General features: G+C 36.7%; 1 protein-coding gene across 23 annotated transcripts in view; it reads left to right on the top strand.

Annotated features, from left to right (window-relative positions):
* MTMR2 (myotubularin related protein 2) overlaps positions 1-24,189 on the top strand; it is a 91,228-nt gene that overhangs the window by 51,328 nt on the left and 15,711 nt on the right. For 14 of the 23 annotated variants that reach the window (NM_001440635.1, NM_001440650.1, NM_001440648.1 and 11 more), the window contains 7 exons: positions 7,104-7,179; positions 10,414-10,508; positions 10,678-10,788; positions 14,148-14,249; positions 15,145-15,228; positions 22,031-22,180; positions 22,918-23,106. In NM_001440635.1, the coding sequence (NP_001427564.1) occupies positions 7,134-7,179; positions 10,414-10,508; positions 10,678-10,788; positions 14,148-14,249; positions 15,145-15,228; positions 22,031-22,180; positions 22,918-23,106 (777 nt within the window). In that variant the 5' untranslated portion in view covers positions 7,104-7,133. Of the gene's footprint in view, positions 1-6,293; positions 6,378-6,967; positions 6,993-7,103; positions 7,341-10,413; positions 10,509-10,677; positions 10,789-14,147; positions 14,250-15,144; positions 15,229-22,030; positions 22,181-22,917; positions 23,107-24,189 lie in introns of all 23 variants that reach the window. The other 9 variants (NM_001440639.1, NM_001440631.1, NM_001440633.1 and 6 more) reach the window with 6 other exon arrangements.

Raw genomic sequence — 24,189 nt, 5'->3', positions numbered from 1 at the left:
TCTCAAAATAATAAGAGCTATCTATGACAAACCCACAGCCAGTATCATACTGAATGGGCAAAAACTGGAAGCATTCCCTTTGAAAACTGGCACAAGACAGGGATGCCCTCTCTCACCACTCCTATTCAACATAGTGTTGGAAGTTCTGGCCAGGGCAATCAGGCAGGAGAAGGAAATAAAGTGTATTCAATTAGGAAAAGAGGAAGTCAAATTGTCCCTGTTTGCAGATGACATGATTGTATATCTAGAAAACCCCATCGTCTCAGCCCAAAATCTCCTTAAGCTGATAAGCAACTTCAGCAAAGTCTCAGGATACAAAATCAATATGCAAAAATCACAAGCATTCTTATACACCAATAACAGACAAACAGCCAAATCATGAACTCCCATTCACAGTTGCTTCAAAGAGAATAAAATATCTAGGAATCCAACTTACAAGGGACGTGAAGGACCTCTTCAAGGAGAACTACAAACCACTGCTCAATGAAATAAAAGAGGATACAAACAAATGGATGAACATTCCATGCTCATGGGTAGGAAGAATCAATATCGTGAAAATGGCCATACTACCCAAGGTAATTTATAGATTCAATGCCATCCCCATCAAGCTGCCAATGACTTTCTTCACAGAATTGGAAAAAACTACTTTAAAGTTCATATGGAACCAAAAAAGAGCCCGCCTTGCCAAGTCAATCCTAAGCCAAAAGAACAAAGCTGGAGGCATCACACATATCTACAACTATCTGATCTTTGACAAACCTGACAAAAACAAGAAATGGGGAAAGGATTCCCTATTTAATAAACAGTGCTGGGAAAACTGGCTAGCCATATGTAGAAAGCTGAAACTGGATCCCTTCCTTACACCTTATACAAAAATTAATTCAAGATGGATTAAAGACTTAAATGTTAGGCCTAAAACCATAAAAACCCTAGAAGAAAACCTAGGCAATACCATTCAGGACATAGGCATGGTCAAGGACTTCATGTCTAAAACAGCAAAAGCAATGGCAACAAAAGCCAAAATTGACAAATTGCATCTAATTAAACTAAAGAGCTTCTGCACAGCAAAAGAAACTACCATCAGAGTGAACAGGCAACCTGCAGAATGGGAGAAAATTTTTGCAATCTACTCATCTGACAAAGGCCTAATATCCAGAATCTACAATGAACTCAAACAAATTTACAAGAAAAAACAACCCCATCAAAAAGTGGGTGAAAGATATAAACAGATACTTCTCAAAAGGAGACATTTATGCAGCCAAAAGACACATGAAAAAATGCTCATCATCACTGGCCATCAGAGAAATGCAAATGAAAACCACAATGAGATACCATCTCACACCAGTTAGAATGGCGATCATTAAAAAGTCAGGAAACAACAGGTGCTGGAGAGGATGTGGAGAAATAGGAACACTTTTACACTGTTGGTGGGGACTGTAAACTAGTTCAACCATTGTGGAAGTCAGTGTGGCGATTCCTCAGGGATCTAGAACTAGAAATACCATTTGACCCAGCCATCCCATTACTGGGTATATACCCAAGGGATTATAAATCACGCTGCTATAAACACACATGCACACGTTATGTTTATTGTGGCACTATTCACAATAGCAAAGACTTGGAACCAACCCAAATGTCCAACAATGATAGATTGGATTCAGAAAATGTGGCACATATACACCATGGAATACTATGCAGCCATAAAAAATGATGAGTTTGTGTCCTTTGTAGGGGCATGGATGAAGCTGGAAACCATCATTCTCAGGAAACTATCACAAGGACAAAACACCAAACACCGCATGTTCTCACTCATAGGTGGGAATTGGACAATGAGAACACATGGACACAGGAAGGGGAGCATCACACACCAGGGCCTGTTGTGGGGTGGGGGAAGGGGGGAGGGATAGCATTAGGAGATATACCTAATGTTAAATGACGAGTTAATGGGTGCAACACACTAACATGGCACATGTATACATATGTAACAAACCTGCACATTGTGCACATGTACCCTGAAACTTAAAGTATAATAAAAAAAAAAAGAAAAAGAAAAAAAGAACCTTAAAAAAAAAAAAGAAGATAGGTTCCTGGTGTTTTTGAGTTGCCTCTCTTGTTTTGACCTCACTTCATTTATTCATTGAATCTGCTTTCTCTCTTCTCCCATTGCTGACATATCTGAGATGCAATTCCTCTCAAGTAAAAATCATCAAGTATTATTCATATAATTGCTTCTATTTGTTTTATAAGCCTAGGGTCAGATTTGATCACTTTTCCAATGTATCATATTCCTCTTTATTTCTATTACCATAGACTAATCCAGGATTCTATTTCTTTCGTAGATTATCATCATTTCATCTTCTTCCTTTTCATTTCTTTGCCCTCCTTGACCATGCCATCTGCCCCTATCAAAGGCCTGCAGTGTTTTGTTTTTTTTTACATGACTGGTCAAGTTTAAAGTCCTTAACTTCTCCCCAGTATTTTATTATAAAAATTTCTGAACACAAAATAAAGTTTACAAAGGACCCTGCTGTATCCACCATCAGAATTTTTCCATTAACGTTTTACCCTACTTCCTTGTTTTTATCTGACATCCATCATCTGTGTGTCCCTCTATCCATCTATTTATCTGGCTTACTTTTTGATGCATTTCAAAGTAAATTGCAGACATTAGTAGTTTTCCAACTAAATATGTCAGCATGCAAATAAATATATGTAATTTTTCTTTTGATATAAAATTTATATCTATTGAAATACAGAAATCTTAAGTGTACATTCTATGAGTTTAGAAAAATGCATACACCTGTACAACCCAAATCCCTGTCAAGATATAGAACTTGTCACCCCAGATACTTTCATCATGCCCCTTTTCAGTCCACACTCTCATTCTCATCCCCATAGCAACAACTGTTTTGAAGTTTTTGTACTATAGTTTAGTCTGTTGCAGAATTTCATATAAATGGACCCATACGATATGGACTGTCTTGCTGAAGGCATCTTGAAACCCTTCACTAGGATACCCTAAACTTTTACTCCATTTTTATTTCTCAAGCCATCTCCTTTATTCTCTCAGGTAGACATTATTCCATTAATTTTCCTAAGTTGTGTCAGACTCTTTGGAATATTGCAGCTGTCTTCAGTCCTCATAAGAAATGAAAGAAAGGGAAAAGATTTGCTGCTTTCCTTACAACAGTGAGATGCTTACTATTCTGTAGCTAAATCTAGAATATAGTAGTTAGGAGTCAGGGAGAGATTGATTTATGGTTCCCTATATGACATGCTTTCTCAAATATTAATCCCTTTGATGAGTATTAGAGAAAGTGTGTCATATAGGGAATCTCTAGAGCAGAGAAAAAAGCACCATGTCAATAGGCCATTTTGGTAAAAGGCGGTGAAAACTTCTGTTGATGCTTCTATTACGTGAATAATAAGTACAGATGCTCCTCGACCTATGATGGGGTTACATCCAGATAAACCCATTGTAAGTTGAAAATACCATAAGTTGAACCACTGTAAGTCAGGGACTGTCTGTATTTTTTTTTTTTTTCATTTTCATGGTGTTTTGCAAATCTCTTTATGGTGCAGTTATCTTGATTTCATAGTTGCTAACTTTTAAGGTGGGTATTAATATCATGTTAATAACATGAATGGTGAAACTAAGACTCAGAGCGTAGTATGGTGGTAGTGAATGTGGAGTTTTTTTAGGGGTTCTTAGGATATGAAACATAAGGTTTTGCAGTACACCACAAATCCCTTGTATATTTTAATTTTGATTTTCCCTTTTTAGCTGAATCACAGTTTAAGATATTTTTTTCTTTTTCTTTTTTTTTTTCTAAAAAGTATTTCTGGGTTGTATTTTCTGAGACCTGGCTATCTGAGAATGACTTCCTGCTGCCATTAAATACTTTTTGGGAGCATTTTCCTTCACAGCTTTGATCACATTTTGTTATTGTCTTGTAGAATATGGTATTATAGATAACCTTGAAGCTAACTTGATTTTGCTTTCTTCAAAGGTAATTTTTTTTCCACCTATATTCTTACAGTTTATATTTTAATTCTTTTAGTTCAAAAAAATTTGCCAAGATGCAACTAGGTATGTCTCTGTTCATTGATTTTGGGTGGAACATGGTAAACTCTTCTGATCAACATCAATTATATATTGGACTTTTTGCTCCTCTTGATTATTTTTTTTTTCCTTTAGAAAATACAATTCTTTTCTTGATTATTTTCCATGATGATTTTATCTTTGTTCTTTTCCTTCAAATTCTTACAGCACTTTTCAAGTTTGTCCTCAACATTAAATCTGTTTTCTGAATAACCAATGCAATTTGTTGCTAATTGCATACAGATTTTATTTCTGCTATTACATTTTTAAATGTCCTTGCAGTCATTCTCATTCATTTCTCTTGTTTCATTGTGTCTCTCTCCTTATGACTTTCTGTTTCTACTCTATTTCTTTTTTTTCTTTTTCTTTTTCTTTCTTTTTTTTTTTTTTTTTTTTTTTTTTTTAGCACAGGGTCTCACTCCCATTGCCTAGGCTGGAGTGCAGTGGAGTGCATCACAGCTCACTGAAGCCTTGACTTCTGGGGCTCAAGGTAGTCCTCTCATCACAGCCTCCCAAGTAGCTGAGACTGTAGACCCGTGATGCCATGCCTGCCCAGCTGATTTTTTGCATTTATAGTAGACACAGGGTTTTGCCGTGTTGTCCAGGCTGGTCTTGAATTCCTGGTTTCAAGCAGTCCACTCGCCTCGGCCTCCTAGGATGCTGAGAGCATAGGCTGAGCCACTGCGCCTGGCCTTCTCTTTGTGTTTATTAGAAAATATGGCTTATTTCCTTTTGAGTGTGCCAAGTACCTTATACATGCTTTTACAAATGCCTATAGAGAATTATTTTCAGAAGACTGCTTTCTTTTTTAAAGTTTCGGGTTGATATTCTCTTTTCTTTGTAAGTCTTTTTTTTTTTTTTCTAGGCCTTTTTTTTCCTAGTCTCTTTTCTCCTGTTTGATTAAGGATAGATTTGTCTAGAATCAGTGTTTGTCAACAAACACAGGGTCTAGATTGCCCCATCCCTGTTCTGTTCACTTGAGTGCTAGTTGGAGTTCCTTTTCCTATCTCCAGTGTAGAATTAGTTGTTTATATACAACCTTTAGCATAAGCCTATTGTTAAAAGTCTGTCATCTAGAGCAGCTCTGCTGGACAAAGATAGGATCTTGTATTGCTTCTTTTCATTGCCTCGCTCTTTGACATTCTGGTCAGAGAGAATATAAGAAAGCCTATGTGTGGTTCTCAAAGTGTGCTGCTTGCATGAGTTTTCCTGTCTCTTTTCTCACTTTATGAAGCTTTAGGAGGATTGTGTCTCCCATGTTTCTGTGTGCCTTTGCCAGAACTACCCTCTTCTCTTCTGTACATAACATAAATATTTTCCGGGGGTTGCTGGTCCTTTCTGAATGTAGAAATGTAGAGAAAAAGGAAGTCATGTGGAGCAGTGCTGTAGCAGCCACAAGAAGGTATACATATGCAATATGGGAACTACTGCCCAGCGTTATAAGTGACATAAACGTTGTATTTCTGAGTGAGGTGGTAGACCGGGGAAAGAATAAAGCATCTTCCTTTCTATAATCTTTCACGTGGTTGATTTTTTTCGGTATACTCTGATATTTGTTTTGTTATCTTTGGGTCTAATTTTGTTGCTTTCATAATTAGTAGAATTATTAGCAGATTCTGGCAATTAGTTGTTAGTTTGAACTTTTATTAACAGTAGACAACACTTATTACATACATCTTATGTGTTAACACTGATATAAGTACTTTAAATGTATTAACCCATTTAATTTTCATAACAACCTATGTGTGGTACTATAATAGTTACCATTTTATAGATGCGGAAAATGAGGCATAGAGAAGTTGAAAACCTTGCCTAAGAGTACCAAGTTAGTATGTGGTGCAGTCAGGATGTGAACCCAAGTCTATATTTTTGTATATGGCAAGTTTTTGCCTTTTTAACCCCATCTTCATAGGCTGGTCCTCCTTTCCTCTCTTCTTTCCTTCTTCTCTTCTTTTATGACTACATAAGACTATTTAGGGACTGGCAACTAGATAGCGTGTTTAAAAGATGACCTTTAAAGACGACTTTTCTGAAGTTTAGATGTGGCACATAAAAATATGTATGTGTGTATATACTATTTCTTTAGGTATTGCATTAAAGTTACTTTATGAAACAAATTGTTAAACTTTCAAAAGAATGAATTTGTTTAGATTGCAAATTTATTGAAAATAAGTTAATTTGTTCTTTGTAGTTCTTAGTTATTGGCCGCAGGTGAGCCAGATTGCGGAAGATGGAGGAATTAATGGGATTGGAGACAGAAATTTACTGTTTGATGGTGAGAGAGGTGGGAGGAGGTGAGGAAGGCTTTTGGTAGTTAATGGGGGATATATTTAGCATATGACAATTTGGGTGTGTCTGTGTGTTCTCTGGGTTGTAACTCCTTTAGAGAACTGTTTCTGTATCCACATTCTTGGAATATAGTGTAGCATCCTTCAAAAGGTAACTACCTGGTCATATTTGTTGATCATGAATTTATTTAAACTCTTTTTCAACAAGATGATTTATCAACATCATTTCTAAATTCTCTAAACATTAAATCTACACAAGAACTTAATTTTGTCTGAGTTTAAATGTACTATGGCCCTTCAGCATGGCTTTGGAATCCATTCAACTGTAGTTCAGATCTACACACTGGCACTTTAACTATGTGATCTTGAACTAATTACCACTTTCGGCTGCTTTTTCCTCATCTGAGAAATGAGGATATAATACCTCTTTTATTGTTAGGCTGTCTTAGGATGCAGTGCAAAAACATGTACAATTTTTTGTGTAACAAATGTAGAGTGCTTTGATATGATTTAAGCACTCAGTAAATGCTTTCTAGAAAAACATTAACTTCATATATTATACATGCCAACACTACAGTTTAACAAATTTGATTTAAAATAGTGTATGTGATATGATGTTATAACTTCAAGAGCAAGTATACTCAGTTGAAATATGAGTGAAAAAGTAGCCTTTGAATAAAAAAATGTTTCTTTTTTTGTCTTTCCCACCCCAGGTCCTGAGGGAGTCTAACAAGTTAGCAGAAATGGAAGAACCACCCTTGCTTCCAGGAGAAAATATTAAAGACATGGGTCCGTAATGGTATTTTTTGCTTAATGTCCTTCTCCGTTCTACTGTGCAGAATGTTCAGTACTCTCAGCATACAGAGAATAAACTGGCTGTCAGAGACACCTCCTGTCTGGCAGAACTCTTTACCTGCAGTCTTCTCAGCATCTTAGTGTGTTCTACAAACGTAAGCCTAGACCCGCTGCTAGTGTTTGTGTTTGAACTCCTGGGAAACATGCAAATTGAATTATACTTTGCCTCTTCTCTGGTTTGTTTTACTTTCTTTAAAAGTAGGTGGATTTTTGCTAAAACTGTTGCTGAAGCCTGTGAAGGAAAATTTTATTATTTTGAATTACTATATTCAGATATTGAGTTGCCTAGATAAAAACATTGAATTGTCACCTTATACAAGTAATTTTTCTTAAAATATCTTCTCTTCTGTTTGCTTCCTTCATGTCTTTCTTCTCTGAATAAAGTCAGGTTAATTTTTGGATGAAATACATCATCTCCATTGCATCTGTTTGTATGTAGATGCCCTTCTCTGCCCAGCCTAATACTTATAATATGGACTGGAAACTGAAAATGAGCTTACAAGCTGTGTTTTTTTTCCTCATGCTTTTGTTTTGTTTCATCTGTGTGATAATCTACAGATATCTACTCATAAACTCTGAGAAATAAAGTAATATGTTAGAAGAATGAAGTAAATGATTTCTTAGTTAATATAACTACCATGTTTCATTTTGTTACCAATCATAATTTTTAAAAAGGATTTTAAAAATGCTGAATTTTACTTGGCTAGGTGTCATTTCTATGTGTAAAAACAAGCCAAAGGCAGGACCTGTATTCTAAATGGATTATTATTTACTAAATTTAGCTTCCTAGTCCTTAGCATGCTATTTGTCTTTTCTTGCTCTTGGCTCTTGATTGAATAACCTCTCAGTCTTTTTCTTTTCCCCAGTTAGCCTTATATATACACCAAGCTCTTGATCTGAACTACCTACTTACATTTTTTCAGAATTGGCTATTATATAATGATAGTAGTTATTATTATTGAGTGCTTACTATCTCAGTCATTCTCAGAGAGTATATTCTTGAGAATAACATCAACCCCATTTTATAGGTGAGGAAGGAAACTAAGGCATAGGAAGATAACCTAGCTAATAAGGTTATATCTAGCATTGTGACAATTTCTTTTTCTTATTCTGAACTTAATGCCGTAATTGCAGCTCCCATTATGAAATATGGCTTTATTAAAGAACTTCAAGTTACCACTCAGTCTCATTTGTTGGCTCTTCTTCCTTTAATAGCAACACGCCCTAGGACTTCATCCTTGACCCATTTCCCTTTTCCCTCCTGTATACTCTTTTCGGTTGACCATATCTAAATTTGTAACATCACTTGCCATATATTGGCTGATGACTCCAAAATTTGTTATCTCCAGTGTGAACCCCTGTCCTAATGTAAGTAAACAAATGCCTCTATCTTAAACACACATCCTTGAATATCCCATAGGAACCTTATACCCAACATCTCCAAAATGGAAATCATCACGTTTAACTCCAAACTTACTCTTTTTCTTGCATTCTCTCTCTCAGTTGACATCAATACCAGCTGTCCATTTACTCAAGTCAGAAATCTGGTTGTCGTACTAGACTGCTCTTTTTTTCTTTTCTGGACTCTTAACATCCAGTCAGTGTCTAAGAATTTCTTGTATTTATCTTCTTTTCTCCATTGTCATGATCTCTTGAGGAATGATAGAGGGTACAGAACAAAGCAAAGACTAATGATGATAATAGTAACATAGGTATAAACCCTTGAATTTTTGTATTGTACTTAGAACTTTAGAAGCATCTTTATATGTATATTATCTCATGATTTTAGAATAAAGGGGAAGATGTAACAGAAAAGCACTGGCCTGAGAATGACATTCCTGTGGTGGGATATAGGATAATAAGGCTGAGTTTTCTTACATGAGTAAGAAAATTGACTGTGGAAGGAATCCAGAAATGTTTTAGTAACCTTGAATAAAGCTTTTCTAGTTGAGGTAAAAATTCATAAGGGAAAAATATTATTTGTGCAAAGCAAGTTTGTGTATTTTTGTATAATGATGGGTTCATTTAATTTTAAAAGCTTCCCTCTAAATGAAATATGCATTCGAAACGATTTAAAAAAGTAGTTTATACTTAAAATGTTCCTAAGGGAACTATTTTGAAGGTTAGAAATGATTGTGAAAAGATCAGTCTCATTTCAAATTCCATACAAAGCAGCCAGTCCTTCGAAGTGTTGAATGAGAAGCAAAGTCAGGAGGTTGTAATACCTTATTAAATATATTTCATGGCCCCAAGTTTTCCCAGAAGCCCGTTGAAAGGGTCTTAGAAAGTTGTTGCTCCACAGAATTGTCCCTTACTTCCTTGGAATGATGAAGATACTCCTTTATCTGCTGATTTGGTGTAATAATGACATACTAGGAATTTATGAATATTTTAAGATATAAAAACCATGTATTGGAAATTATGAACTGTGGCATTTTAAATAATATTTTGAGATACTGATTCCTAAGTTATCCTGCATAATCAGTTAATGCATATTTTACAAAACATAATGCCATGTAGATCCATTGTTTATTTGATAAAACATTACTTGTGATTATTTCTTTACAAAGTCTGGCATTGGTTGGTCAGCAGTACAATATCCTCTTCTTATACTGTTATTTTTCTAAGAAATTATATTTTAAATGTGTGTCATTTCACCTGTAAAATTTTCCCCATAAGTATTAATCAGATCAGGAGTTTGTGGAATAACATATGTTTTGGACATTGCATTTTTAGAAGAATGTTGACAAACTGGACAGGAAATTGGTGAGGTTACATAGAAACTGCAATGAGATGATGGCGACTGTGCCTTGACATGCTTATTGTTGATACCACCATTACCAGTATTCTTTCACCCGTCTCTGCTGCAGCTACCCACACCTGTTTTATCTAGCCAGGATAGTAGCCCCTTTGTTTACTTCCATTCTGTCTCATGGGATGAGAAGTCCCTCCACCTTTTCAGCCTATCCCATTTAATTCTGTGTTTCTTCCCCAGATTAGTGCAAGGATGGAAGCTTGGGTTGTAGGATTCTGAGGTCTCTGGAAATTACTGGTTCTGTTATTTTTCAGCATAAATTAGTCTAGGAATCATAACAATTTTATAAGATGAGATAGCAGGTTTTAATAGCACATAATGTATAGTAAACTGTGGACTTCTTGCTTTTTCAGCCAAAGATGTAACTTATATATGTCCATTCACTGGCGCTGTACGAGGAACTCTGACTGTCACGAATTATAGGTTATATTTCAAAAGCATGGAACGGGTAAGAGTCAGATTAGATTTTTGTATGTACATGAGTGTGTTGTTTGTAGCTAGTTTTGTTCATTTCTGATCATTTCTAATTAAAGCATTTCTGATTAAGATTTTGATCAGCTCTATAATTGGACAGTATTAATTGCTCAGTTTTAATTATTTTTTCTTTCCTTCTTTAGGATCCCCCATTTGTTTTAGATGCTTCCCTTGGTGTGATAAATAGAGTAGAAAAAATTGGTGGTGCTTCTAGTCGAGGTGAAAATTCTTATGGACTAGAAACTGTGTGTAAGGTAAATGTTATAATATGTATGTGATTTTCTTTGGTTTGAAAAGCTTTGTATTAAATAGAACCTCTGTTTTGAAATTGGTTTCTAAAATATAAAATGGATTTCCAATTAGAAATGTTATTTTAGTATGACATTGATAGAAGAAAACAAAATTTAGCAGTAATAGAAAAGGTGATTCATGAATTAGACTTAATTCTTTTGGGCCCAGTTCAGTCTACATATTTTGATATATTCACAAATTCATAACTTATTTTTTAATAATGATCATCTTGGCCGGACATGGTGGCTCACGCCTATAATCCCAACACTTTCAGAGACTGAGGCAGGTGGATCACATCAGGTCAAGAGTTCGAGATCAGTCTGGCCAACATGATGAAAACGCATCTCTACTAAAAATACAAAAATTAACCAGGCGTGGTGGCGGGCACCTGTAATCTCAGCTATTGGGGAGGCTGAGGCAGGAGAATTGCTTGAACCTGGGAGGCGGATGTTGCAGTGAGCCAAGATAGTGCCACTGCACTCCAGCTTGGGCAACAGAGTAAGACTCTGTCTGAAATAATAATAATAATAATAATAATAATAATAATAATAACCATCTTTAATGCACATAGTACTGATAGGATACCACATAGTTCCACATTGATGATTTCACTTTGAGCCTTATAAAAATCCTGTGAGGTAGGCACAATAGACATTACTACCTTTAATTTACAAATTAGCAACATAAGGCTCTGAGCAGTTCCACTACTTCGTAGTGGAAGAACTAAATAACTAAATATGTTATATTCATCATCACCTATCTTTTCTGTTTCTAGTTCTCATAATTTTTCTTTTTTTTTTTTTTTGAGACGGAGTCTCGCTCTGTTGCCCAGGCTGGCACAATCTCAGCTCACTGCAAGCTCCGTCTCCTGGGTTCACGGGATTCTCCTGCCTCAGCCTCTCGAGTAGCTGGGACTACAGGCGCCCACCACCACGCCCAGCTAATTTTTTTTTGTATTTTTAGTAGAGATGGGGTTTCACCATGTTAGCCAGGATGGTCCCAATCTCCTGACCTCGTGATCTGCCCATCTCGGCCTCTCAAAGTGCTGGGATTACAGGCGTGAGCCACCGTGCCCGGCCAGTTTTTCTACTTCTAAAACAATAGTGTGGAAAAGTTGATATTGTAGACTTTTCTTATGTTCTTATTTACTGGCATTCTTTAAATGCGTTGATACTTGAATGAAACATAGATTGTTACATTTTTACCATTAAGTCATAGGTATTTAATTCTACGTACCACTTCTCCAGGTCACTGTTATTAAGGCCTAATTAACTAACACCCATGCACATTGAGATTCTACATCACATTGTTCCTTTCTTTTTATTCTGCCAGTGCCAAAAGAAACAGCATGTGTATAATTCAAGATACTTTGTTATGCTAATCTTAGAAGTTTTGTGACTCTGGTATTAAAGCTAATGACTTAGTAATTATTTTTGTAGTTTTCTTTTTTTTTGAGACAAGAGTCTGGCTCTGTTGCTTAGGCTGGAGTGCAGTGGCGTGATCTTGGCTTACTGCAGCCTCTGCCTCCCGGGTTCAAGTGATTCTCCTACCTCAGCCTCCTCAGTAGCTGGGATTACAGGCATATGCCACCATGCCTGGCTAATTTTTGTATTTTTGGTAGAGATGGGTTTCACCACATTGGCCAGGTTGGTGTTGAACTCCTGGCCTCAAGTGATCTGCCCGCCTTGGCCTCCCAAAGTGTTGAGATTACAGGTGTGAGCCACTGTGCCTGGCCTGTGGTTTTCCATTATAGTCAGAAGGGCTCTGTGAGTGTAATCGCTGGCAACCATGTGTCAAGCACACTGTTTCCTGATCACTTTTCTGTAGTTTAAGAGTAAGTAGTGCATAGAATATAAGACGATGTGAAAGAAGATAATTTTGAATCTTAATCATTTTAAATATAATTTCTTTCCATGGAACAGGATCGTTATCAATAAACAAAAATATTTGTAGGGCCCCTGACATGGTACTTTCAGAGAACTCTGTGGTTAACAGAATGATTCTGAGTATCTCACCTAGTTATAAAGATATTTACTGAGGGAAAACAAGATATCAGCTTAGGTTCCCGCACATGTTTATTTTAAAAGATAGTAAAGCCAGCATTCTAGTTTTGGATCATATACTGTCTTACTTATGTATTGTGGGTACACTGTAGTGGAGAGGCTTTGTGTGTGGTTCTACAAAATGAGGCATAATAAAGCTATTTTGAATTCTGCCTAGGTAAAAACATTTAAATAAAATGATCAGTCTTAAAATTATTCTTTTCTTATAAATTTTTTTTAAAAAATTTTTTGTAGAGACAAGGTCTCACTATGTTGCCCAGGCTGGCCTTGAACTTGTAACAATTCATGTTTCATTCAAGTATCAATCAATGCATTTAAAGAATGTCGGTAGATAAGAACATAGGAAAAGTCTACAATACCAATTTTTCCCCACCACTGTTTTAGAAGTAGAACACCTCAAGTGTCCCTCTTGCTTTGTCCACCCAAAGTGTTGGAATAACAGGCATGAGCCACTGTGCCTGGCCCTTGAAATTATCTTAATCCCCAGTTTTTTTCTAAGTGCTGTTAAGATACCAGTAAACCGGAACATGAATAACTGCATTCAGTCTGAGCATAGAAAACTGCTTAGGGACAAATGGAAGGGAAACTTGGTCTTTAGACCTTACTGTAGAGCCTGGATAATATAAACTAAACTATTCAGAGTTATGTGTCAGTAGATGGTGGAAGAATGTGGTTATGGAGTGAAGGAAGGAACACTTTCAGGCAGGGTTTAGTTCTATCAAGTCTACTAGTAGCAGGGGACTTAGGAAGAGAAGGTCCAATGCAAATGAACCCTGGGAAGGGATAGTTAGTAGGAAAATAATCACCAGATATAATGAACTGAAGACACGTATGAAATGTAACAACTACTAATCAGGTTTTATAAATAAAGAAATTTATGACAGAAAATGGGCTTTCACAGGGAAAGCACATATGCTGATAGTTTGTATCAGTCATGATATTAATCTTCAGATGTAATATCGTTAATCTCCAGTGGTTACATCAAATACTACCTCTTTCACTGGCCTATTTTGAGTCCATAAGCATAGGTAAATTTCCTGCCCTCTGAATTCTGCTTCATAGTAGAGTACCTTGTGTTTCTTTCAGTTTTTCCCAATAAACCATTATAATTTCCCTGTCTCCAGGAGCTGATGTCTGATTTATTTTTGTATCCCACATTCACAGATCTTAACATTTTACAAGATAGTTCCAAGTAACCTTATTTATTCATTTAAGTAAGTAGTGAACAATTATTAACTTGGTTCCTAAATCTTTTCTAGGATATTAGGAATTTACGATTTGCTCATAAACCTGAGGGGCGGACAAGAAGATCCATATTTGAGAATCTAATGAAATATGCATTTCCTGTCTCTAATAACCTGGTAAAATGTTTCCTGTCTTTGGAAAATTTGTGCTATAATTATTGATGTCGTATAAAGAAACTTGTCTAGGCTGTCTAGAATCTCTACATTTACATCCCTGCTTTGACATTTAACCAGATGTATAGTGTAAGTGTAACTTAGTCTCTTAGATCAATTTCTTTAGGTATGAAATAAAGGAAGCTGGACTAGCTGATTTCTGAGGTCCATTCCAGCACTAACATTTTATGATTATATGATCTTGCTATTCAGGGTGTTTCCATGATGAAAAGTTACCTGTTGTCTTCATTAGGATTTGTAATCTCCTTTTTAATTGGGAGCCAGTTAACACTAGCAATTTGGGAGGGAGGTAAGGGTAGGCAAACCCTGAGTTCCCACTATGTGCTTTAGACAGTGTTAGACTCCCACGTTTATATCATTTCACTTCTATGTAGCCTATGGTGGTAGATATTATTTATCCCTGTTTAGCGATGAAAGCAACATCAGGTAAGCAGTTAACTCAAGGGCACAGTTAGTAGGAGTACCATTTGGAATCAACGTTGGTCTTATGACTCCAGTTCAAATTTTTTTCACATCATAGTTGTGTTTAAATGTAATGTCTTTATTTGAAAGTAAACCTACAAAGGCTACCAAGGATAATCTGAAAGAAATACAATGATATGTTGGTATTTGATAAGTTTTGTTGGCAAGTGTCTTTGCTTTTTTGTATGCTTAAAAATATGTAAAAAAATAGATTTTCAAAATGATAAAACAAAAACTATAATACAAAAAAGGATGCTAATACATAAAATGTTCTTGCAGATAAATAAATGAAAACTTTGGATATATGGATACATTTCTGATTCATTACCTTTGTGAATATCTTTTTTAGCTCTTACCATTGTTTACTTTTTTGTAGCCTCTTTTTGCTTTTGAATACAAAGAAGTATTCCCTGAAAATGGGTGGAAGCTATATGACCCTCTTTTAGAGTATAGAAGGCAGGTATGTACTTTCTTCTCTTTCAATTTTAGTATTTTGTATTCTTTTCATTCCAAAGAAAACTGGGTGGAACCATGTACGAAAACCAGCATATCTCATACCACAGTAATTCACCACATTAAGAGATTAAAGCAGAATTCAATCTTGAAATCTGTTTTAGTATATCATTCTTCCTATTCTTCCTTCAGTATACCACTTCCCAAAGAGTCCCTATACTGCATTACTTAAGCCCCACCTAAAATAGTCTTTTCTTTATTTTTAACTTTCCTCCTGTCCACTATGCTTTCTTGAGAATTTAAGACATATTGATTATTTCTTGGTAATCATTAGATTTGTTATCTAGAGTATTCTAGAATTCAAATATGAAAATTCTTGAGCTTTTACTTTTGTATTTAAATTTCAAACGTAGCATTTTAATTATAACATTTCTAATTTATTGTGGTTTTGTTTCACAAAGCCAGGTAGAGGTAAAGAACCACCACCAGAGAGCTAAAGATATCTAAATGACTTGAAGTGGGGTTTGTTACCACACTTACATGTGGAAAGTGAAGTTGAAATTTCCTCATTCAGTTATAAAGTTATTTGGCAAAATATGAAATAGAATACAAAATAAGTGGGAATCAACTAAAAGCCAAGAGTATACAAGAAACAGGAGATTCATGCTAACTCAAAAATCCAGTGTCAGAAGAAGATGACTAAGCAACCAAAAAGTCTAGCAGGTGTCTTTAGAAATTATAAAAATGAGGACTACTCTTTGAGAATCTGGGAAGAAATTGCTGTCCCAGGAGCATTCAGTGTAGAACTTTGGAAAGCAGGTGTCTAAAGAAAAGAGGTAAATTATTACTGAAAAAAAATAAGTTGAAGTGTAAATGAACAACTATACCCATACAGAAAGAGAATTAAGAGATTAGGAATTGTGGCAGTAAGAATAGAGCATTAGCTTCTACATAAAATGGTATGGATGCTTTATGGTCTTTGACTTACTAGATGAATTTGTTGGCTTTTTTTTTTTTGGCAGCATGAGAAACTGTCTCTGAGTCAACTAAAAGGTCTAATGGAGAGGACACTGTATTTGTAGTTAGAAGCTGTAGTTTTAAGATTTTTTTCTTGGATATATTTTAAGTTTATTACAGAAGAAAATGAAGATGATCTCTTAAAATTAAGGACTAATGATAAAGCATCAGATTATTCACTTCCCCCCCTTTAAATAAAAAAAAAAAAGGAAGTGGTAATACTTGCATTCTGTACAAAATTCAAAAGGTCCAGCAGGGTATACTGAAAGGTAGGTTTTCCTTGCAGGACAACCTGTGTCCCCCTAGCCATTCCAGTTCCCCTCCCTTTAGGAAATGATATTATTGGTTTCCTGAGTATTTTTTTCAAAGGTTTCATGCCTACAAAGCTTGTGTATATATGTGTGGGTATTGTTTTTTTAAGCATATGGTAGCATGCCATGCACACTCTTCTGTGCTTTTCTTTCTTCATTAATATATTTTGGAGATGGTACCATCTTCAAACATATAGACCTTTCTTTTTTTTAAATTGAGATGTAACTCACATACCATAAAATTTACTGTTTTAAAGTATACAGTCCACTGCTTTTTAACATATTCACGAAATTGTGCAATTACCACCACACTCTAATTCTAGCACATTTAGAAAACTTAGTTTTGAATTTTAGCTCTAGTTCTTACTCTCACACTCAGATGTAGGCTCTTGAATGAATCATTTATGGCACAGTGCCTTCATTTTTTACTTGGTGATAGATACCACGTTATGGGATGTTTGAAGGATTAGTGACATATAGAAAGGCACTTTGTAAACTGTAAAAATCTATCCAAATGATGATTATTATATTTATTACATTGTGAGGCTCTGAAAAACAGATATCATGACTGGCTTTATCATGTGCTGCCACTAAAAAAATGAAAGCTACATTCATTCAACAGATCTACACTTAATAGTCTTAAAAGAAATTAGACTATATCTCTTCAAAAATGGGCAAAGGCTGGGCGCAGTGGCTCACACCTGTAATCCCAGCACTTTGGGAGGCCGAGGCAGGCAGGTCGCTTGAGCCCAGGAGTTTGAGACCAGCGTGGGCAACATAGTGAAACACCATCTATACAAAAAAATAAAAATTAGCCAGGTGTGGCATGCACCTGTAGTCCCAGCTACTTGGGAGGCTGAGGTGGGAAGACCACCTGAGCCTGGGAGATCAAGGCTGTGGTGAGCTGTGAATGTGCCACTGCACTCAAGCTTGGGCAATAGTGAGATGCCATGTCTCAAAAAATAAGTAAATAAATAAAAATGGACAAAGTTATTAATAACCATTTAGGTTTGTCATATAGGAGAATGTTTCTTTAATTTACTCTTGAAGGACATATACAGTATGTAGTGATTATAGACAGGACTATGGAGTTTGTGGATAAGGCCAAGAAAAATCAAGTCATCTGGGCACAGTGGCTCACACCTGTAATCCCAGCACTTTGGGAGGCCAAGGTGGGAGGATTGCTCGAGCCCAGGAGTTCAAGACAAGCCTGGGCAACATGGTGAAACCCTGTCTCTACCAAAAATACAAAAATTAGCCAGGTGTGGTGACACATGCTTGTAGTCACAGCTATCCAGGGGGGTTGAGGCAGGAGGATTGATGGAGCCCTGGAGCTCGAGGCTGCAGTGAGCCCTGAGCATGCCACTGCACTCCAGCCTGGATGACAGAGTGAGACCCTGTCTCAAAAAAAACAAAAAGGAAAAATATCAAGTCATGGGTAAAAATCTGTATAAAGATAATGAGCAGTCCAGTACAGTGGTTCACACCTGTGACCCCAGCACTTTGAGAAGCCAAGGTGGGAGGATTGCTTGAGCTCAGGAGTTCGACACCAGCCTGGGCAACATAGTGAAACCCTATCTCTACAAAAAATACAAAAATTAGCCAGGCATGGTGGTGCATGCCTGAAGTCCTAGCTACTCTGGAGGCGGATGTGGGAGGATTGCTTGAGCCCTGGAGGTTGAGGCTGCAGTGAGCTGTGATTGTACCACTGCAGTCCAGCCTGGTGAAGAGTGCAGAGACCTTATCTCATGAAACGAACAAAAAAGATAACGAGCACGGTCTTCTGCAGAAATACCCAACATAAGTTACATGCATTACTTAACAAACTTGGAAAACAGTTACTTCAGTCAAGGGAAAGAGAACTTATCCTTAGAACTGGAATGTAAGTAACTAAGAAAGCCATGGTCCTTTCAGTTTGTTTGTATAATAAACTTGACCCTGACAAGTGGATACTGAAGGGCAGTGATTTTGCTTGGAGAGTAGATATATACCAAAGATCAATAATTGTCAGTATATTTTTAGTAGTCTACAAAGAGAGTGTCTGAGGGCTAGCCAATTCCAGTTTTCTGCTTGAAAGGCAGTTTTTAGTGAAGATAGGTGTGTCGGCTTATCTAAGAATGAGGAGGACAATAGCCATGAAGGTAATCTAAGTCATTGGTTCTCATTCCTACCCCACCCTGCTACTTACGTGAATAATGTGACATTCCCCATGAGAACAGTGGTTCTCCTGGTAGTGTTTTTACAAGGATATGGGAAGTGGGGTGGGAGAGAGACAGGAGTACCTTTCTGGGTTGGGGGATGGTACATTAGGCCCTCTGATGTATACTTCTCAAGTGATCTGACCTTTAGCTCTGACTCCATGTTTTCTAAGAAAACTTCAGAAACTAATTTTGCTTCATATGGAAACTTCCTGTGGTTCACTGATTTATTCATTCATGCATTTATCAAATTCATATAATACCTTCTAAATACTAGTGGCTAAAATATGAAACAAAATGATAAAGTCCAGGTTCCCAAAGAGTTTGTGTTCAGTGGAGCATTCAAACAAATAGATTAACAATTACAATATAATGTAATGAATAGTCTGATAGAGCAAGTACTGTAGGGAGAGAACATGAGGCCATCTGGGAGCTGAAAGACGTTTGATATAGACTAGACCAGAGCATACAGTGGCAAGGGAGAGATCTGGAGAAAGCAGGATTGTAGAGGGCTTTGCTAAGTCTGGTAAAGGACTTCATATTTTATATGAAAAGCAATAGGTAGCCATTGATTTTAAGCAGAGGAATGACATAATCCCTTTTGCATCTTAAAAGATTACTGTGGAGGCAGTGTAGAGAATGGATTATAGAGGGACAGGAGAGAAGTGATAATGGCCTGAATTAGGGAAGTGGTGGTAAGAATTGAAAAAAGTGAGCAAACTTCTGGTATTTCTGGAGGAAAAATCATAGAAATTGGTCACTGACTGGATGTAAGGGATAAGGGAGGGGGAGGAGTTAAAGATGATAACCAGGTTTCTTGGTTGAATACCATCTCTTTAAACTTGCCAATTCACTGTACTTTTTAGTACAGCATGTGAAAAAAATATATAAGTATATATATGATATATACATATATAAAAAATATGAAATATATATTTTTCACGTGCTATAATAAAAAGTACAGTGAACTGTGTATATATATATATATTATATATAAATTTTTAGAATCTCGCCGTGTCACCCAGGCTGGAGTGCAGTGGCGTGATCTTAGCTCGCTGCAACCTTCACCTCCTGGGTTCAAGCAGTTCTCCTGCCTCAGCTTCCCAAGTAGCTGGGCTTACAGGCATGAGTCACCATTTCTGGCTAAGTTTTGTATAATAGAAACGGGGTTTCATCCATGTTGGCCAGGCTGGTCTTGAACTCCTGACTTCTAGTGATCTGCCCACCTCTGCCTCCCAAAGTGCTGGGATTACAGGCGTGAGCCACCGTGCCCGGCCAGCACGTGAATATTTTGTTAAAAACCTCTAATTAAGACTGTAGTTCTGGAAATAAGTCATGGGTAAAAATCTGTATAAAGTTAATGAGCAGCCTGGTGCAGGGTTTAACTTTCATCTTGAAGTTGTCCAGAATATCTGAAGTCAACGAAATCAGGAGGGAGGGAAATATGTAGACCACAGGGAGCAAGATGGGACCAGGCTAATTATATGGAGTAAACAGGATGTAAGGTAGTAATGAAAGAACAGTTAGGGATAAATAGAAGCGCTATTGAGAGTGTTTGCTGGAAGGGAATTTTCTTTCTTAACATCCTTCTGGGTGTTTGGAAACAGCTTGAGAAATACTTCTTTAAAGGAGAGTACATTCTGCTCTTTGAGATTTTTACAACAATTTAGTGAATACGATAGTAAATTTTTCTTGAGGAATAATGTACTTTTATATAAAAAGGATAGATTTGGAATGCTCATGGAATTCTCTACTACTTCCTAATGTATAGCTTTGGCCAAATTACAAACTGTGCCATAGTTTCTTTATCTATGAAATGAAGTTAATGAAACCTGAGTACAGTAAAATATATCTGTGTGTTTGGGTGTAAAGAGGCTGGCAAAGTGCCTACACATAGTAGATGCTCAGTAAATGTATTTTTCACTTTCAATTCTGTCTTTTTCTGTTTGATAAGAATTTTCAGAGATCATAAAATTTAAGATAGATTTTCTTAAGTCCAACCATTTAATATAATAGCTTAATTTTGTATACAGTGAAGGATGGAAAATTTCAGTTGTTTTATTAATCCTATATGTGAAGTAGTACACTATTTATAAAATAGCAGATATTGAAGGAGCACGAGAGCTCAATAGTTGATATGTTTTTTAAAAATTGTTTCAAGCATTTTTCTTGCCTGTTGCCTGTTGTCATTTTGCCTTGCATTCCTCCCTTACTTTTCTAATATATTTTAGATTAGCAACATCCATTAGTATTATAATACCTCAGTGAAAAATGTACTTTACGTATGTAAGCGATAGCTGTGCATGTAGCACTCTGGTGGACACTTGGTGCCTGACTTCTGATATTTATTTGTATAGATGAATGGCAACAAAGTCAATCATCCAGTCAAACTGAATGAGACCCTGCACTTTGGGAGGCTGAGGCAGGCGGATCACCTGAGGTCAGGAGTTCGCAACCAGCCTGACCAACATGGTGAAACCTTGTCTCTACTAAAAATACAAAATTAGCCGGGCATGGTGGCGCATGCCTGTAATCCCAGCTACTTGGGAGGCTGAGGCAGGAGAATTGCTTGAACCCGGGAGGCAGAGGTTGCAGTAGCCAAGATCGCGCCATTGCACTCCAGCCTGGGCAACAAGAGCGAAACTCTGTCTCCAAAAAAATAAATAAATAAATAAAGAATAGGAACATTTGGCCAGGTGTGGTGGCTCATGCCTATAATCACAGCACTTTGGGAGGCCAAGGTAGGTGGTCAGGAGATTGAAACCATCCTGGCCAACCCCGTCTCTACTAAAAAATACAAAAATTAGCCCAGCATGGTGGCGTACGGCTGTAGTCCCAGCTACTCAGGAGGTTGAGGCAGGAGATTCACTTGAACCCAGGAGGCGGAGGTTGCAGTGCGCTGAGATCGCACCATTGCACTCCAGCCTGGGCGACAGAGTGAGACTCTGTCTCAAAAAAAAAAAAAAAAAAAAAAAAAGGAATATTTGAAGTCTTACTGTTTCCTTCCACCTCCTGAATATGCTTAGCACAGGTCCACACTGAATATTTAGTGAATTAATGTCTGTTATATTAACATCAAATTGGGTTCCACAAATGAATACGTATCCCTACATTAGAATATCTAATCCTGAAAGCCTGATACCACAGGCTGACAACAACTATCCCAACACTTTAGGAGATGGATAGTAGAGGTCAGAGAGATTGAACAGGATGGCTTCTGTCCTGGTGTCGTTTAATATTTTAGTTATATAGTAATTTGTCTTATGTTTCATTTCACATGTAGGGAATTCCAAATGAAAGCTGGAGAATAACAAAGATAAATGAACGATATGAACTTTGTGATACATACCCTGCCCTCCTGGTTGTGCCAGCAAATATTCCTGATGAAGAATTAAAGAGAGTGGCATCCTTCAGATCAAGAGGCCGTATCCCAGTAAGTAGGAAGTTTGGATGAGCCTTTGCAAGTGCTTTTTTACTCAACATAATGCTGAGATTAATGAGTAGGAGAATGGATTCAGGATATAAATAGCTACAGCAGCAGGTCTTTCATGGGGATATTGGAGATTGATTTATTTAGTAAAGTTAAAACTGGAAGAAAGACTTAAAGAGGCTTCCAGAGAGTGTGATATGGGTATTAGATAACTGCACAGAATTGCATGATTCTTCACTGAAAAAGTTTGCTGTGTGTATTAGTCACTATTTATTTATCTTATTGTATATTCTTTAGTCATGATGATAAATGTTCTTTTTTTTTTTTAAGTCCTAGAAAGAACACCTTACAGATTTATAACTGGATCTTAGAAAGATGAGCTTAAATAATTTTAGGTACAAAATTCATAGATTCTAAAGGCTTTTAGAACTGAGCAGTTTTACTAATATATTAAGTGGGGTTTACTTAGCCCTGTTTCACAGTATTTTTTTCAGGAGATAACATTTCCCAATAATCAAATACTTTCCTAAATCAGTATCTGACTAAAGAATTAGACCAAGTTTTCCACATCCCAGAATTGGCTTGAAGGAAAGGTGATGATTTTTCTTAGCAGCCTCAGATGTCCTTTCATGGCCAGGCTTTGGATCCAATTAGAAAGCAGAGCTTTACTGAGTACTGTTTTTGAGAATTATAAACAGAGAAGTATGTAAAAGGTGTGTTACCATTTTTTCCTCATTAAGGTTTTATCATGGATTCATCCTGAAAGTCAAGCCACAATCACTCGGTGTAGCCAGCCCATGGTTGGAGTGAGTGGAAAGCGAAGCAAAGAAGATGAAAAATACCTTCAAGCTATCATGGATTCCAATGCCCAGTCTCACAAAATCTTTATATTTGATGCCCGGCCAAGTGTTAATGCTGTTGCCAACAAGGTCAGATGGTCTCTTAGTAATTATAATTATGGTTTCATGAATCAGCTGAGTTTGGCAGGGCCACAGTGTAGTAAAAAGAGCTCAGGCTCTACAGTGGTAAACATATAGGTTCTTGTCTTGGCTCTTCAACTTGATGGTGTGATTTTGAGTTAGTTATTTAACCTCTTTAGACCTCAATTTGTTTATTGGTAAAAATGAGAATAATAATAGTTAACAGTGTTGTTTTGGGAGCAAAAATCATTTAATAAAAAATAATGCATAAACTTTTGCTTACTTACATAATAACTAGGTGTTCAGTTATTCTTAGCTTCCCACTTCTCCAAAGTTGACAACTAACTGAGCTTATGACTCACTGAAGTCCCTGTATAGTACTGCTCTAGGAATAGCGAACTAGTGTTCTCGGTGACTAGTGGTGCCCTCTTCTGACCGTCCTCCACCTGAACAAGTTATTCAGACTGAAGAATTGGCAGTTAGCTGTAGCTGATTGTTCCAGCAGAATAAATATTAGCATTGTGGAAATTGAAATTTTGGTTCAGTTGACCAAATCTATAGGAGGAGGGAAGGAGAGAGAAGACATAACTACAGCAGCAGGTACCATTACTGAAAAGCGCTCATCTTTTCAAGTGTACATTTCAGTGCTTTTAGTATATTCACAAAGTTGTACAACCATGCCACTACCTGAATCCAGGGCATTTTTATTCTATGTGTTTCGGTGACAGGTTCTGTATAGTTGTTACCACTGCTGTCTTTCTAGAATGTTGCAACAAATTTGAATTGAAAGTTCCTGTCTTATTCCCACTCTTCAGAAGTAATCTTTAACAGGTATCCCTTGAAATACTGTAAATTCTATAATTGTGCCAAACGATTTCCCAGACTCTCAGTGTCAGAAAGGAAGCTGAACTTCTGTTCTTTCAGTAGTTTGTTGCTGGTTATGAGTTGGTGGTTTTGTTGTTTCAAAGGTGTGGGTCATATAATCACTTAATTTTGTATAATTTACTGCTCCAGTATTTTCCTAATTTGTTTCTATTAGGGCTCTAAGAAGTATAATTTTACACGAGTTAGGTAGGAGATAGAATATTTTAT

The sequence above is a fragment of the Homo sapiens genome, chromosome 11, assembly GCF_000001405.40.
Source record: "Homo sapiens chromosome 11, GRCh38.p14 Primary Assembly".
NCBI lineage: Eukaryota > Metazoa > Chordata > Mammalia > Primates > Hominidae > Homo > Homo sapiens.
The sequence above is the reverse complement of the archived record's forward strand: the minus strand, read 5'-3'. Positions and strand labels throughout refer to the sequence as shown.